We start from the raw sequence: 17,418 nt of genomic DNA on the forward strand, positions 1-17,418 counted from the left end.
ACATCTTATTATTCCAGCAAGGGGGGTGGGGAAGGTGGATTACCTCAAATCTTTGGAGCAATGTTTGGGGATGATGTAGTCTACCATCCTTTGAATAGCTTGGCTGATTTACCATTGAGGAAGAAAGAAATTTCTTCTTGAGATGTAGTGTGATGCCTTTTTCAGAACCAGCCACTCTAGTGATTTTTAATAAAAAAAATTATTGTCTCATGGCTGGGTTTCTGTCATTCCTTCCAGAAGGTGGGAGGCTGTGAGTTTGGAAAATTAGTGTCTGGTGACTGTGGGTGAGAAGGCCCTTTCCTACATAACAGAAGAAATAAACACAGGCCTGCAGTGGGGGTGTCATAGCTACGGGTCACTATTACCCATGTGGGAGGCAGGTGTGGTTGTTTGGAATTGCCCCCAAGTTCTGCACTGGAAAAATACATCAGCCTGGTGCAGCGGCTCATGCCTGTAATTCCAGCACTTTGGGAGGCTGAGGTGGGATGATTACTTGAGGCAAGGAGTCTGAAATCAGCCGGGATAACAGGGTTAGATCCCATCTCTATAAAAAATAAAATAATTAGCCGGGCTGTAGTCCTGGCTACTCAGGAGACTAAGGCAGGAGGGTGGCTTGAGCCCAGAAGTTTGAGGCTGCAGTGAGTTGTGATCACACCACTGCACTTCAGCTTAGGTGACAGGCAAGACCCTGACTTTGAAAAAAATAAAATATATATACTTATTTATATATAAATATTTATATATTACATTATAAATTTATTTATATATATAAATACACATGTATTTATATATAAAAATATATATACACACACATGGACACACACATACACACACACACACACAGATACATATACATATATATGAAACTTGAAGCCAGCCTCTCTCAGTGGCGATGTTTTTCAAGGAAATCTCCAGCGTTAACCACTCCAGCAGAAAATTTCACATTAGATGGCCCGGTAGTATCTCCATCCAAGGGGATGTATTTCTGGAGCACCAGAAAATGCCGCAGAGAACAGCACTTTGCTGCTAATAAGCTCCCAAGCTATGCTTCTGATGCTGTGCTGTGTTTTCCATCAGTTCTACCTCCCTGTCTGATCAGTGTCAGTAAGAGGGACTGCTGGTGTAGATGCTTTGACTGTAAATCCTCTCTGGCTTTGTAACTGGGATGAGGAGAGATGATTCCAACTAGGACAAGGTAAAAGCAGGAGAAACAAAGTTGGTCCCCACCTCCCCTACTCCAGAAACCTAGTTTCCATCTGCTTCTGCCTCTGTTGTGACACTCAGATTTCACACCCTTTTCTTATCTATTTTCTCTATCAAAGCACAGCTATCTTTTGTCTCAATGCTTCAAAGTTTGGATCTATGGATGAACCAAAATTCTAACAGCTATTAGCATCCCACTGTTTCCACACCTCTGGATTCTGTAGACCCCTGTTCTGGGAAGATCAACATTTGCTCAAGCTTCTCCCGAGAGAGGGTTCCCTGGAGCAGCAGCCAGGGTGACAGGTGTCAGGGAAGGCTAAGAGAACCAGGGTCCCACCTTTGGGGCTGGCTTGGCCCTGGGCCATGACCTGGGCATGTAACACTGGGCCTTCCTGTAACTCTTCTGCATTGCTTTCCTCACTTACAAAATTTAGTGGGAAACTGGGTGGAATTAGGTCAGTATCTGACCATAAAAATTATCTGGGCCATCAGTAAAATTCCAGGTCTCTGGGATTCACATCAGACCTCCTGAATCTGACTCTCTAAGGAGGGATCTGAGCATCTGTCTTTCATAAGCACCTCTGGGACCAAAGGTGCAGGTCAGTGTGGGAGACAGGCATGGATGAGTTCACGAGGCCCTCTCAGCTTTGCTTTCCTGTGACATTCTTCAGAAGGGCCACGGGGTGACAGTGACCAGCAGGGACCCCAAGAGCCTGAGTTCATATCCTGACTGTGTTTCCCCAACACAGTGACCTTGGCAAGCCCTGCCTCCTGATGACTCAGTCTTCTCATCCGCAGAATGGCCATAATAAGAGTTTCAACCACTGGCTGGGCATGGTGACTCATGCCTTTAATCCCAGGACTTTGGGAGGCTGAGGCAGGAGGATTGCTTGAGCCCTCGGGTTTGAGACCAGCCTGGGTAACATAGCAAAATTCCGTCTCTACAGACAGTACAAAGTTAGCTGGCCATGATGGTGCACACCTGTAGTCCCAGCTGCTTGGGAGGCTGATGTGGGAGGATGACTTGAGCAGAGGAATTCAAGATGGCAGTGAGCTATGATCACACTGCTGCACTCTAGCCTGGGGCAAGCGACACTGTCTCAAAAATAAATAAATAAACAAACAAACAGGTAAGAGTATCAGCCACCTAGACTTGTCGATGATTAAATGAAGTCAAACAAGTCAAGGGCGTAAAATCATGCCTGACACGTAGGGAGGACTTAAACACGTAAATGCTGTGTTAACACTACGAAGGCCTTGGGGTGAAAGGCACTGGACAGAGCCTTCAGAACTCAGCCTTCTCTTTGCAGCCTTCTCTGGAGCTCAGAGTTTGTGGGGCCCAGCTCTTTACTTCTGCTTTCTTTACCAAGCTCAGCTTCCTTAGTACATGACTTTGTTTATGTCGGTGTCCAAATCCCCACTAGATTTCAAGTATCCTGAGGACAGGGCACCTTTTAACCCTTGGTGCAGAGCACAGAGTGGGCAAACCACAGGCCCTGCTGAGCCAGACTCATCTCCTGAGCTCTCAGCAGTCTCTGCCTCCCTTTGTCTGTGTCTGTCTCCTCTTGTGCCTCCTTCTGCCTCCCTGGATCAAAATGCCCCAGCACTCTACTAAGACATAAAAGGTGGCCTACAGTGGAAAGGCAACTTCTCTCCCCTTTCCTTGGCAGAGGTGCTCGAGGTAAGATTCCAGGGTCAGAGGATCCTTCATGCTCTGAAGCCAGTAGGAGTCATGGAAGTGAAAGTGGAGGTGGGAGGACCTAGCCCCAGGACCAAGCCCTCCTTCCTGCAGGGCGACTGTCACCCAACAGTAGCTATACCAGCTGCCTTGTCCCAGGGAGATGGTCCATTTCCCCTTTTGCCTCTGGGTGCATGTCACCTGTTTAGCATTGTGCCCCATAGGGACTTAGGTCACGTGCCTGGAGGTGGATCAAAGTGCCAGTGGGGAAAAGGGCTCAGCTGTGGGGCATGGGAATCAGCCACAACCAGCCCTGCATCCCGACTCAGGGCACAGTGCGGCCAAGTCCTAGTCCCTGTCTCGCCTCCACCTTTCTTGGACCTTTGGACGTTGAACTTCTCTGTGTCAGGTCAGTGAGGATGACAATTATAGAAGGCATCCAGGCAGAAGTGGTAGCACCTTTTATGACCTGGCCTTGGCGGTCACGAGAGTGTTCTTTCTGTGACTGCCAGGTTCAGAGGGAGGGAACCTAGGCCCCACCTCCCCGTGGGGGAGTCAAAGCCACCTTGCAAGGAGACATTGTTGCAGATGACTCTGAAAAATAGGATCTGCCAGTTTCTCAGAGAAACCGAGTGGACCCCTTTGGTCCCAAAGCTTAACTCGCCTAAGGGGTGCTGCTGGTGGTAGAAATGGGAACAGGATTCGGGTAAAGACTCCTCCTTCTCAGCGTCCCCATCCCTTTCTTGATTAGACTTTGCAGGTAAAGCAGCCCCAGAGATGAGGAGCAGGGCTAAGGGGGATACGAAAGCCGGCCAGAGCACTCCGTTTCAGGAGAAAGGTGCAAGTCTCAGGGCATTTGTGACCGGGTTGGCTCGCCTGTGGGACTGTACTCTATAGCAGGAAGGAGGTGCGGAGGAGGTGTGCCTGGGGATGATGTCTACAGTGAGGCCAGGAGCGAGACCCGAAAAGGCAGAGTCAGAGGGCGGCTAAAGGATGCTCTTCCTTCTCCTCCTTCCTCCTTGACCCAGCTCTGGCCCTGTGGTTTAAAAAACAAAACAAAGCAAGAGCAACAACAACAACAACAACAAAAACTATGATAGATTTGAATAAGCTGTCAACTAAAGGAATGAGTCTTTATTGAGTTCTACTTACATGCTACACGTATGTATTGAGCGCCATTTATGTGTTATTTCGCTTAACTGTCACAAACCCCCCGAGGGGTGGGCATGGTCCATTTCAATTTGTGAATGAAGACACTGGGACAGAGAGCTTAAATAACTTGCTCATGGTCCTACAGCCAGTAGGTGATGTAGGTTGGATCCAAATGATGTCCACCTGAGGCTAATAATTTCTTCCACTATAGACTCATTGCTTTGTCAGATTTCCTTTAGCTGGGGGGAGGCAATGGAGAATGGGGAAGTGATATTGATACAAGGAAGGACGAACAGAGGGATTAAGGGCTATGGAAATGGATCCACCAGATTTCCTTCCTGCATTTCTTAATGGTTGTTCACATTTAAGAGACGAGCAGGTAGAGGAGGCTGCCTGATTCTAGGGCTATGAATGAATTTGAGTAGGAGATGGTTTTGCAGAGAAAATGGGGAAACAGGTCCACTTGCGTCCAGTGACAAAAGAAAGGGTCTGGACCAAGAACACTGGGCTCTCCCCACAGTGATGGTCAGCCCTCACTGGCTCAGAAATCATAGCACAGTGGCTGGACATTTTCTTGCTCCTGCCTTTAATTTTGAGATTTCCTAAGCAAACATGTTTCCTATGTTGTAAAATAATTCCCTGGGAGAAGGTGGGATACAGTGGATGGTAACGAGAAACAGGAAATAGGAGCTCACCTTTTGGCTCCGTCATTTTTGGTTGGTGTTCTAGGCAAGTCACTTCGCTTCTTCTCTGGGATCCTGGTGGCTAGAGGGTCTCCCACTTTGTTCCAGCTGTCCCTGTTCCAGCACTGTGCCTGGCATGGAATATGTGCTCAAACATGCTGAATTATTGAGTATGTTGAGGTGAATTTCTAGCTGCTCCATGACAAAGTGTAAGTTTTGTTTTCTGAAGAGTCCGGGTAATCCCCAGCCCAGGTGAGCTGCAACCCTGCTCCTTTATATTTTGATCTGGAGTGGGGGTTCATCCTCAGGCGATGGGCATCCTCCATGGGGTAGAGGTCACAGTCTTTGACAGCCTTTAGGTCTCTCATGTCACTGTAACACCTAAGTCACCTTTATGTAACTTCCTGCAGCCAAGTCATCCCACAGGGCTGCATTAGAACATTCTCCCTTTGGGCGGGGCATGGTGGCTCACACCTATAATCCCAGCCGTCTGGGAGGCTGGGGTGGACGAATCACCTGAGGTCAGGAGCTCCAGACCAGCCTGGCCAACATGGTGAAACCCTGTCTCTACTAAAAATACAAAAAAAGAAATTAGCTGGGCATAGTGGCACATGCCTGTGATCCCAGTTACTCGGGAGGCTGAGGTGGGAGAATTGCTTGAACCCAGGAGGCAGAGGTTGTGGTGAGCCGAGATCTCACCACTGCACTCCAGCCTGGGCAACAGAGCAAGACTCTGTCTCAAAAACAAACAAACAAACACCAAAAAACAAACAAACAAACAAAAAACATTCTCCCTTTGGTTTTTCCTTTGTTCCAGTACATCTTGGATGCCACCGTGGGACTGCACACCATGAATCATGGACTGAGCCCACCAGGGTGTTCTGGGTGTCATGGAGAGGCCCTGGCAGGGATAGAAGGACGTCGTGCCATCTCCGTGTACTCAGGGTTTAGGCAGGCTATGGTCCCCCACCTCGCCTCACTCCCCTCCAGCTCCCCCTCTCCTTGCAGCCCACTCCTGCTCCCAGACCCTCCCCTCAGGTCTGCCATTGTGCCTCGGATCATGCAGCTCTCCATCCAGGGTGTGGCTGTGGGCTCTGTTACCCCTAGGGAGTTCGTCTCTGCTCCTCACTACCGTCCATTCAGCCTCCGGAGGTTGAGGAGGTTGGAAGAGTTGGGGTACAGCAAACATCAGGTGAGTCATTCCCCCAGGCTGATGTGGGGAGAAAAGAACGGGTGGATGTGCTTTTAGGAATAAATGACTTTGAAGCTAAGCATGCAGCTGAATCAAACATTAGTCACAGAACCCCGGGAAAAGGATGCCCTCTCTGAGAGAGGCCGTGTGTGTATAAGGGTGGTGGTAGGGATTTTGTTAGGAACAACAGATCTGAGAGAGCCACAGGACTTGCCACCTAATAGGGTCGTTTATTAGGTATAGTTCAAGAGTCAACTGTGGGTCACTTAGATTCATGGGACGTCATAAATATGCATCACTGAGGGCCTATTGTGTGGGAGATCCTGCGCACCTTACCCCGTGGCTGGTTTATAGAACCATTGCCTTTGGAAACGATTAATGGAAAGTGGCTAAAATTTGCAGCTGGGGGCAGTGGTATAGACTTCATGGTGGTAGGAGCATCTCTTTTTCTGGAGTCTTTTTCAAACAGAGCATGGGTTCCTCCAGGTCTAAAATGGTCAAGGGCCAATCTGAAGGTTAGGATAGCACTAGTTTATCTGGTAAAACCCTTGAGGATCTGTGGATCTGTGGTCTCTCAATTCATCATCTGAGGACAGGGAGACATAGTCCTGAGGAGTTGAGGTCATAGTTCCTGTAAGAAAGTTGAGATGGGCCAGGTGCAGTGGCTCATGCCTGTAATCCTAGCACTTTGGGAGGCTAAGGTGTGCAGATCACTTGAGGTCAGGAGTTCGAGACCAGCCTGGCCAACATGGTGAAGCCCCATCTCTACTAAAAATACAAAAATTGGCCAGGTGTGGTGATGCATGTCTGTAATCCCAGCTACTTGGGAGACTGAGGCACAAGAATTGCTTGAACTCAGAAGGCAGAGGCTGCAGGGGGCTGAGATCATGTCACTGCACTACACTCCGGCCTGGGCAACAGAGCAAGACTCCATCTCAAAAAAAAAAAAAAAAGAAAAGAAAAGAAAGTTGAGATGCTTTGGCATTGACCCGTTTTGTTGAAGTTCCCTCTTACTGCTTTTGTGAGACTTTTGTGAGAACAATCACCTTCCTGATTGTTCTTTCTCCCCAGACTGACTGCCCCAGTCTAGTGTTGACCACCAACACCTCTGTCATAGCTCTCACCCCTCTCCAGGCTCTGATGTCACAGACCCTGCAGTCACTTTGGATTTAGTAAATTCACTAAACATCCCTTTACTCACTCCCCCAAGTCAATCTCCCCTGCCCCAGTTCCATGGTTCTTTTCTGAACCCTCTTTTCTTCTGTATTCTTTTGCCATCGGACAGCTTCAGGTCTCCGAACATCATGCATGGTCTCCTAGTTGTCGATGTGCAATGGGTATTTCTCTTCTCTAAACCTTCCCGAGTCCTGCTAAAATGATGAAGTGATGAGCTGAGTGCCAAGAACAGCTATCACAGCTCCTTAGGGCATGGGCACCAAAGATCCATTTCCTCGTCTTGGGTTCATGGCTCTCCTACATTTCCTGGTCTCCTAGGTATTCAGATGTAACAGTTAATTGAGTTCCAGGAAGTGGAATGTGAGTGAAATGAGCAACACTTAAAGAAAAACACCAGCTATAAGCAGACAACAGTGCAGCTTAGGAGATGACAGCTTTGGAAATGAAGGCCCCGGGGTCCCTGAATTCCTGAGAGGAAGAAAGCAACCCACCAATGACATCAGACGTTGAGCTACATCAGCAAGAAATTAACCTGCATTGTGTTTGAAAATATCTGGGTCTCTTTATTACCACAGCCTAGCCTAGCCTAAGAAAACCCATTTCAAATCCAAACTCCTCGATCTGATCTTTAAGGTCTTCTATAAGTTATCCCTTCCCCTGTCTGGTTTCATTTTCCACTGCTCTCTTCTCTCCATCCTGGTCATCCTTGCCTCTCTCCCAGCCCTGAGAAGGCTCACTCTTGACTTCCTGCTCAAGCTTCCTGGTTCTCCTGCCCTCTACCTCTTTCCTTTGCTGATCTCAATCTCTAACCCTTCCAGGAAGATTCTCAGATAATTCTGCCCCACACACCTCTCTCTCTTCACTGAATTCATAGATCAGTAATTGTTTCATTTGTGCTTGTTTTCTCTTCCTTCTCAAGGGCAAGAACCGTCTTTGTGTATATTCCTCAATGCTTGGTATAAAGCAGGAGATAGATAGATAGATAGATAGATAGATAGATATAGTGTGTGTGTGTGTGTGTGTGTGTGTGTGTGTGTGTGTGTGTGTGTTTGTGTGTGCTGAGTACAGTCTATGGCCCCCAGATTCTATTCCTTGACATGAATAACATGAAGTATGTTCTCTAATAGATAATTTTTTCATTCAACAGGAGATTGATTCACTGGATGTCATTGTTATAAAAAGCAACAGTGAAAGCTGCAGGGAACACAGTACAAAGTAATGCACCTTCAGCACAGATGTTGGAATAGGAGACGCTATTACTTGATTTGTTCCTGTCTTGGCTAGTTGATGAGGCTGCTGATGTAGCCTTGACATTTTCACTTCCTCTTGACATATTTTGTTCTCTGTCAACATTCAACTTTCAACACTGGGCTCTGAGACTGAACATACCCAGGGAAGTACAGGACAGGACCTCTGGAGCAAAGAGTTCCCACTGTCTCACTTGACTTTAAGTCTCAAAGTTGACTTTCTTTGTCTATCAGGACAATCATCCTGAAAGTCAGGCTTTGTGCAGAGAGGAAATTTTTCCAAATCTCAAATATTTCCCTTGAGCATGTTAGGAACCAAGCCCTGCTGTGCCTCTATCAAAGAGCAGTGGAGAGAACAGACAGTCTGGAAGAGGGAGGATTTGGGGCAGAGGCAGTCCTTGCCAAAGAGCATAATAAGGTGAAATGCCAGCACCTTCTGGCTCTCTGCAACGTGGGAAGCACTGTGGGTCTAATATCAGTATACCCAGAATTCCTTCTCCAGGAGAAGAGAGGTGCCAGGTTGAGAGGGAGGCTTTTGGTGCACTCCTTGTTGGGACCCTGGGGTGGGGAGACCACCTCAAAGGGTGCCCCCTTCATTGTCATGGAGCTGCTGGCACATCAGCTTCACCAAGGCAGGGATCTTAGTTTTGTTCCCTGATCATGAGCATCCAGAACAGTGCCTGGGACATACTAGGGGCTCAATATATAGTTCTGGGTTGACTACATCAGAGTAAAATGGATGGGATCTGCCTTTGTGCAGAGTTCCCCCACGTGGTTTCAAAGGATTCCAGGAGTCCCTGCGTGTGGAGAGCTGGATGACCAGAGGGGACTGGTTGGGTGAGCTAACGCTGGGTGTTGCCACAGTGGAAGCTTCAAGGAGGACCTTTTGGGCTGGAGGGCAGCAGTGCTCTGGGACAGTCACAGGCAGACATTCAACATCAGTTAGAGACAGCGGGGGCTGAGTCAGCCTTAGGAGTGCTCGGCGAACCTTCTGCCTAAGATCTGCGGAGTCTGCCAGACAGTGAGTACCATGCCCTACAGTGCCCCCCAAGAACAGAGAGGGGCTCAGGGGCACATGATGAGGGGAGGCCACCTCTGCAACCACAAGGGCACAGCAAGCTCTCCCACTACTACCCAGAGGCCATCTGGGAGAGGAGGACGGAGCAGGGCAGAACTCCGGGTGTTTTTGTGAAAAAGACAATCTTAAACTGAAAAGAAACTATAGGAGCAGGGAGAGACTCACACATTTCTCGCTCCCATGTTTGAGTTTCCTTTCTGCTCTTTAAATTGGAGATGATATTTGCACCTACTTTGTAGGTTGCTGTGCAGGAGAAATAAATATATAAAGCATTTAGAGTCTCACCTGACCAGTTGAAATCAATGCTGTAGCTGCTGTTGGTCTTCTCTCCCAGATGGGTGGGGGACACCTGGGAAGACTAGGTCAGATATGAAAAATAAGAGGTTACATTGATATTGCACATCTGAGTGCAGTGTGAAAACATTTTGATACCATATTACTTAATAGCGACACTATTTGAGTAGGGATTTGTGGCTTACAAAGCACTTTTAAAAATTGTGCCCTTGAATTCTCTCAACAATGTGGGAGAGGGGAGATCATGTCTACCCTTCATTCACAGATCTAGAAACTGAAGTTCAGTGAGTTTGATGGCTGGACCACAGCCATGCTTCTAGCAAATGATGAAGCCAGCTCTGAAATCCAGGACTCCTCATTCCAAGACTCCTTCTTTTTCAGCCCCATCACCCCTGTAAATTGCCTGATTCTGCCAGAAGATACTGGACCCTTCACCTACATCTCCAGTCATGAGACTTCCCTCCTACAGGGAGGCTTTTGTTTAGCTGGGCTGAAGTGCTGAGAAAGGGCCCCGGTGGCAGAGGGTCCCAAACACATGTTAGTGAAAGAACAGCTTCCATGGACTGCTGAGCAAGTGCTGGGTTCATTCATACAACAATCCTGTCCAGGTGAGATGCGTTTCAAGGATCCTGAGGTCTTAAGTATTCCCACCATCCTTGCATGACAATGAGCCACCTGCAATCTTATGGCAAGAGAGAGGCCAGAAGGCCTTCCCAGGTCACAGAGACTCAGAGGTGACTCAGATACGAGGAACCCCAACCACTGTAAGGTAGAAGTGGCCGGGGGATGTGGCCAGCACCAAGAATGAGGGCAATGAGGTCAGCACTGTAGATGCAGGTGTGGGCAAGCAGCCCAGGTAAAGAATGGCCTTGGCCTCTGTCTTAGCAAAAACCCTCTTGGTGGTAAACAACGGAAGCCCAGTTCAAATTCACTTCAGCACTAAACAGGGCCAATTTGTTATAAGGGTTCGGGGTGTCTCCCAGAATCCAGGTCAAAGAATGACCTGGAACCAGGGACTGGAAACCCCTGGGATGTTGACTCGGACAGGTGTGGTCTTCTGCCTCCTGCTGCCCACTTGCCCTCTCTCTCACTCTTTGTGGGCTGGCTGGCCTCCTTCTCTGGCCTCCTGGTTGCCTGCACCTCCAGAATCTGCTTCACCCCAGTTTCAAATAAAAGCGGAGGCCAAGGTTAACTTCTCTGGTTTGTAATTCGGAATTTGCAGCAGAAAGAACTTGGCCTAATCAGAAACCTCCACACTCACTGTGGCTAGATTGGCTTTCCCTGTTCTTCTGAAGTGCTCATGGGGGCCTTCACGGGGCCTGCCCTTCAGACGAAGCAGAAAAGTGATCAAATGCAAGAAAGGCCTTTTGGCTAAACTATAGGGGAAAACGGTTTGCATGTGGAGGAGGGCTAGCTTATTCTGTGTTCTATTTATTGTTTCAAAAGGAGTAAGTTTTTCCTTCCATTCCAGCCTTGTTTTTACAATCCACCCTGAGGGCAGCTCTCACCCCAGGCATAGAATAGAGGTGGCTGCTTTCTGTAAAAAGGAAAAGTCATCTTTCCCGATGGAACACCTACCTAGTGCTCCAAAGTGATCGATTTTCTCCATGTGTTAGAACAGCCATTCCCTGGTATCTGTTAAGGGAGGCTTTGCCGCAGGAATAGAGATAAGGACAGCGAGTGGCAGGGTCCCTCTGCCTCAAGACACGTTTAGAACACTGTGATTTATATGCTTGGTCTCCTTTCACCACCATTTTTGTTACTTGGTGGAGGGGACACCTACTGACCCCACAGATTCCCACTCTGGAAATCAACTACTGAAGAAACCAAATTAGGAAAGTGTGTCCCAGTGTCACAGGATATCTTGGCCGGTTGGGGATTTTACTTTCCTTGTGTTCATGATTTCTGGTATGAAAGCAAAATTTGAAGGTTTGTGTCCCTTCAAACATAGCCCACCCGACATTTAACTCAGGGAAGAACAAACAGTAACAGTGACTTCCAAGGGGGCTCATTTCACTGGGAAGTTCTGAAACTGATAATTTATGGATGCCATTGGGAAGCTTAAGTTGTCTTTTCCTGGAAGGGGTGTAAGGCAGGCATTTCTTGAGTGTGATTGACCTCGAGGGATGTTCAGTGATGATGTCTTTGGCTCTTCCCCTGTGAGCTGAAACACCAGACCCTAACCCTACAAGTTGTCCCCTCCTGGGACATCTGGGCTCCTAGGATGGCTCAAGGCTCCTCCTGAGAGCACAGCACGATGCTCTTCTTTGCAACCTCACCATCTCCGCTCCTTTGCACTCCAGTTACTAGACTGAGGTCTCCTCTCCTGGTCAGCACTCATGAGAGCCTCTGCACTGAGGCCATCCTTCTGACCTCGTTCCAGCCCTTTCTCTGCTGCATCAGCCACAGTACAAGGAGATGACCAAAGGGAACATTTTCCCTCATGGGGCTACAATTCTATTATTAGGACCCAAAATGGGACGGCCATCCCTACCATTTGATTCAGTACTCCTAGTGATTCTCCCGTTTGAGTGATCTCAGTCTTTGAGTTAATAATAGCTTCCCTCATAAGAAAAAGTTCCTTAGACAGAAGATGGGAGTGATGTTTACTACCCTGTTCTAGACCCCATGTCATCACCCGGGGGGCAGCAACTGTGACTGTTCTTTCCTAGGACATTTGAGTGCCATCATCATAAACAAGCAGTGGCCAAGGCCTGACACAGCAATTGCTTGACTCACAATATGCATATTTTCCCATTCGGCCCTTCATCTCTGATGTCAATAGGGTAGAGAAAGAGAATCTGCCCCAGAAACCTTCTGGGTAGCATGGTAAATTAAGAGGGAAACATGAAGGTGGGATTCAGTGTCCTCCCACTGCCTCACTGACTTGATTTGCCCACAGTGTCCTGGTCACAGTCTCTGTTGCATTAGGTAACAATGAAAGAGGCCAAAAACAGCAGGTGTTTCCTAGTACTCCTTTATTATTATAGAAATTACTTTCTTTTGAGAAGTGTCTGTTCATGTCCTTCGCCCACTTTTTGATGGGGTTGTTTGTTTTTTTCTTGTAAATTTGTTTGAGTTCATTGTAGATTCTGGATATTAGCCCTTTGTCAGATGAGTAGGTTGTGAAAATTTTCTCCCATTTTGTAGGTTGCCTGTTCACTCTGATGGTAGTTTCTTTTGCTGTGCAGAAGCTCTTTAGTTTAATTAGATCCCATTTGTCAATTTTGTCTTTTGTTGCCATTGCTTTTGGTGTTTTAGACATGAAGTCCTTGCCCATGCCTATGTCCTGAATGGTAATGCCTAGGTTTTCTTCTAGGGTTTTTATGGTTTTAGGTCTAACGTTTAAGTCTTTAATCTGTCTTGAATTGATTTTTGTATAAGGTGTAAGGAAGGGATCCAGTCTCAGCTTTCTACATATGGCTAGCCAGTTTTCCCAGCACCATTTATTAAATAGGGAATCCTTTCCCCATTGCTTGTTTTTGTCAGGTTTGTCAAAGATCAGATAGTTGTAGATATGCGGCGTTATTTCTGAGGGCTCTGTTCTGTTCCATTGATCTATATCTCTGTTTTGGTACCAGTACCATGCTGTTTTGGTTACTGTAGGCTTGTAGTATAGTTTGAAGTCAGGTAGCATTATGCCTCCAGCTTTGTTCTTTTGGCTTAGGATTGACTTGGTGATGTGGGCTCTTTTTTGGTTCCATATGAACTTTAAAGTAGCTTTTTCCAATTCTGTGAAGAAAGGCGTTGGTAGCTTGATGGGGATGGCATTGAATCTGTAAATTACCTTGGGCAGTATGGCCATTTTCACGATATTGATTCTTCCTACCCATGAGCATGGAATGTTCTTCCATTTGTTTGTATCCTCTTTTATTTCCTTGAGCAGCGGTTTGTAGTTCTCCTTGAAGAGGTCCTTCATATCCCTTGTAAGTTGGATTCCTAGGTATTTTATTCTCTTTGAAGCAATTGTGAATGGGAGTTCACTCATGATTTGGCTCTCTGTTTGTCTGTTGTTGGTGTATAGGAATGCTTGTGATTTTTGCACATCGATTTTGTATCCTGAGACTTTGCTGAAGTTGCTTATCAGCTTAAGGAGATTTTGGGCTGAGACAATGGGGTTTTCTAGATATACAATCATGTCATCTGCAAACAGGGACAATTTGACTTCCTCTTTTCCTAATTGAATACCCTTTATTTCCTTCTCCTGCCTAATTGCCCTGGCCAGAACTTCCAACACTATGTTGAATAGGAGTGGTGAGAGAGGGCATCCCTGTCTTGTGCCAGTTTTCAAAGGGAATGCTTCCAGTTTTTGCCCATTCAGTATGATATTGGCTGTGGGTTTGTCATAGATAGCTCTTATTATTTTGAAATATGTCCCATCAATACCTAACAGACACTTCTCAAAAGAAGACATTTATGCAGCCAAAAAACACATGAAAAAATGCTCACCATCACTGGCCATCAGAGAAATGCAAATCAAAACCACAATGAGATATCATCTCACACCAGTTAGAATGGCAATCATTAAAAAGTCAGGAAACAACAGGTGCTGGAGAGGATGTGGAGAAATAGGAACACTTTTACACTGTTGGTGGGACTGTAAACTAGTTCAACCATTGTGGAAGTCAGTGTGGCGATTCCTCAGGGATCTAGAACTAGAAATACCATTTGACCCAGTCATCCCATTACTGGGTATATACCCAAAGAACTATAAATCATGCTGCTGTAAAGACACATGCACACGTATGTTTATTGTGGCATTATTCACAATAGCAAAGACTTGGAACCAACCCAAATGTCCAACAATGATAGACTGGATTAAGAAAACGTGGCACATATACACCATGGAATACTATGCAGCCATAAAAAATGATGAGTTCATGTCCTTTGTAGGGACATGGATGAAATTGGAAACCATCATTCTCAGTAAACTATCGCAAGAACAAAAAACCAAACACCGCATATTCTCACTCATAGGTGGGAATTGAACAATGAGATCACATGGACACAGGAAGGGGAACATCACACTCTGGGGACTGTTGTGGGGTGGGGGGAGGGGGGAGGGATAGCATTGGGGGATATACCTAATGCTAGATGACGAGTTAGTGGGTGCAGCACACCAGCATGGCACATGTATACATATGTAACTAACCTGCACAATGTGCACATGTACCCTAAAACTTAAAGTATAATAATAATAATAATAATAATAATAATAATAATAATAATAAAATTACTTTCTGCTGTTTCCAGCCTACTCCAATGCAGTATGAAATTCTGGGACCTCCAAGGGAGCAAATTACACATATACACAGGACCACAGTAGCCCTGATTCACCCAAGAATCTCCACTGCCACAAAATGAGGATACAACAAGGGGAGGACAAGTCAATAAACATTTCTCTAGCACTGGGTTAGGAGTCTTCTGTGTGTTATTGAACTGTGAGAAGGCGTGTAAGAAAGAACATGCCTTTCTTGTGAAATGGATTTTACGATCTCCACTATAGAGCTGAAGACCTCCAGGCTCACACCTGTGACAAATTGGCCAGACTTTTCTGGCACCAAGGACTGCCCTCTTTCATCAAGTTACCCAGCAGACAATCAAAGGTGTCAGCTTTCTTCACCAAGGTTTGATAATGTTCTAGGGCCCTGGGGAGAGCAAGAGGAGCCTCCGGTAAAATTGTGAAATGAGTGAGGTTTGGATTGGACTCCTTATAGCAATCTTCTTCCTACTCGGACATCCGGCAAGTCCCTTTGCTGACCTCCTTTCACCCCCAGGGCTACTGGCAGAGAATCCCTGAAAACCAAAAGGGTTGAAGATGTTATCTTTTCTAGAGGACACTCAGAGAACAAAAAGGCTTAGAGCTTAAATTGTGGCATTTCAGGCTCTAAGAGGGGCAGTGTCTACAAACACCTTAAGTTGCGTTCCCAGCACTTCCCCAGAAGGCAAAAAGAAACTACCTGGAGCACGTTGGATATGGGGCTCTAGTTCTGAGACTGAAAAATCCCAGTTCTCTGCTGAAGTTTGAGGCATTTAGAACAGCTCCCCTCCCGACCCAAAGGATGATTTACTGCATGGAAGGAGGCTCTTCAGTATCATGTGCACAGTGCCACAGCATTGTATCTGCCGTCACACCCCGTATGTTCAGTGCGGCCATGAGAAATCAAGGCATAGGACTGGTGAAGCATGAGGCACATGCCCTCCCAAATTGGGAGTAAAACAATGTCCCAGGCACCACTACTTTCTTAAACATTGCTCTGAAAGTGCTAGTCAATATATTTACACAAGGCCAGGTGCAGTGGCTCATGCCTGTAATCCCAGCACTTTGGGAGGCTGAGACAGGCAGATCTCCTGAGGTCAGCAGTTCAAGACCAGCCTGGGCAACATGGTGAAACCCTGTCTCTACTAAAAATACAACAATTAGCTGGGCATGGTGGCAGAAACCTGTAATCTCAGCTACTCGGGAGGCTGAGGCAGGAGAATCGCTTGAACCTGGGAGGCGGAGGTTGCAGTGAGCCAAGATCACGCCACTGCACTCCAGCCTCGGTGACCGAGTGAGACTCCAGTTTGTCTAATATAAAAATATGTATATATATATAGTCTAATATAAATATATATTTTGTCTAATATAAGTATATATTATATACATTTTGTCTAATGTAAATATATATATTTTGTCTAATATAAATATATATATTTTTGTCTAATAGAAATACAAATATATTTTGTCTAATATATATATTAGACAAAAGAGTGAAGAAATATAATTTCAACATTTTAAAAAGGAAGGAAACTCATTGTTTGTAAGGGATCTGATCACATCATTGAAATGTGCAAGAAAATAAAATTATTGGAAATACTGAATTCCGTAAGGTTGACAGATTTTTTTAAATGCAAAATTAATGTCTTTAGACACAAATGATCACCACTGAAACATCCAGAAATTCCACTTTTAGAAATCATCTGAGAAAATAATAAGTGCACAAAGATACAGTCGTAAAATCAACTTCAGCGTTCATCATCGGACAGTTGTTTCAATGAACTGTGGTTCATCTAGACAATGGAATGCATAGCCCTTAAAAATATTACTGTGGATCTACATTTACTGAAATGGAAAGATTCCCATACTATGGGATGGTATGATAAGCATGATATAAAGTTCTGAAATTATAGTGATATTAAACTTTTTTAATACATTAGGATTTAAACTTTTATGTACCAATATCAGAACAAAAGGCCATAAAAAGATTAAAATATAATGACAAGCCGAGAATAGATTGCATTTCTATTATGATCACTGGTGTATTTTCTTCACAACACTTACATCCACTTGAATTATATATATTTTTTGTTTTTTATTATCTTTCATTCTCACTAACCTAAAGTGAGGGAATGTAAGTTTACTGTTGCACACCAGAACCTTGAACATCATGAGTATTTGTTGCATAAATTATGAATAAATTCCACTTCTGCACATTATGTATCTCAATTTCTCTATATATACATGATATAGAGGGATGTCTGAAAAGATAATTCACCCAAAGGCTGGCATTGGTTGGCTCTATGTGTTGGAATTCTCTGTCTCCCTCACCCCTCAATCCTGGCTCTGTCTACATACCCATAAATACAAAAATAATACAGGAATGTATTCTCCTCATTCTTTTTTTTTTTTTTTTGAGATGACCTCGCTCTCTTGCCTAAGCTGGAGTACAGTG

The 17,418-nt window shown here is 45.6% G+C and overlaps 2 long non-coding RNA genes across 3 annotated transcripts, besides 2 other annotated features; one reads left to right on the forward strand and one right to left on the reverse strand.

Moving 5' to 3' along the window:
• Positions 1-735: 735 nt before the first annotated feature.
• On the reverse strand, positions 736-5,084 carry LOC124901925 (uncharacterized). Its single transcript, XR_007060878.1, has 2 exons — positions 4,729-5,084; positions 736-3,917 (listed from the first exon to the last, which is right to left on the reverse strand). It is a non-coding gene; the product is annotated as an uncharacterized LOC124901925 (long non-coding RNA).
• Positions 5,301-6,500: an enhancer, noted in NCBI's record as "CDK7 strongly-dependent group 2 enhancer chr8:29449049-29450248 (GRCh37/hg19 assembly coordinates)". NCBI's record gives its function as "activates an origin of replication core promoter dependent on BRD2, BRD4, P300/CBP, MED14 and CDK7 cofactors, with strong dependence on CDK7, by STARR-seq in HCT116 cells {active_cell/tissue: HCT116}" and the evidence as "EXISTENCE:reporter gene assay evidence [ECO:0000049][PMID:35650434]".
• Positions 8,242-8,421: a silencer, noted in NCBI's record as "silent region_19073". NCBI's record gives its function as "represses an Ori minimal core promoter by ATAC-STARR-seq in GM12878 lymphoblastoid cells {active_cell/tissue: GM12878}" and the evidence as "EXISTENCE:reporter gene assay evidence [ECO:0000049][PMID:35858748]".
• LOC105379352 (uncharacterized) lies at positions 9,232-16,567 on the forward strand. 2 transcript variants are annotated; one of them, XR_001745862.3, is made up of 3 exons: positions 9,232-9,352; positions 9,969-10,311; positions 14,957-16,567. It is a non-coding gene; the product is annotated as an uncharacterized LOC105379352 (long non-coding RNA). The 2 variants fall into 2 exon arrangements; XR_949626.4 differs by having other exon boundaries at positions 10,085-10,311.
• The last annotated feature ends 851 nt before the right edge of the window (positions 16,568-17,418 follow it).

The sequence above is a fragment of the Homo sapiens genome, chromosome 8 (genome assembly GCF_000001405.40).
Source record: "Homo sapiens chromosome 8, GRCh38.p14 Primary Assembly".
Lineage (NCBI taxonomy): Eukaryota > Metazoa > Chordata > Mammalia > Primates > Hominidae > Homo > Homo sapiens.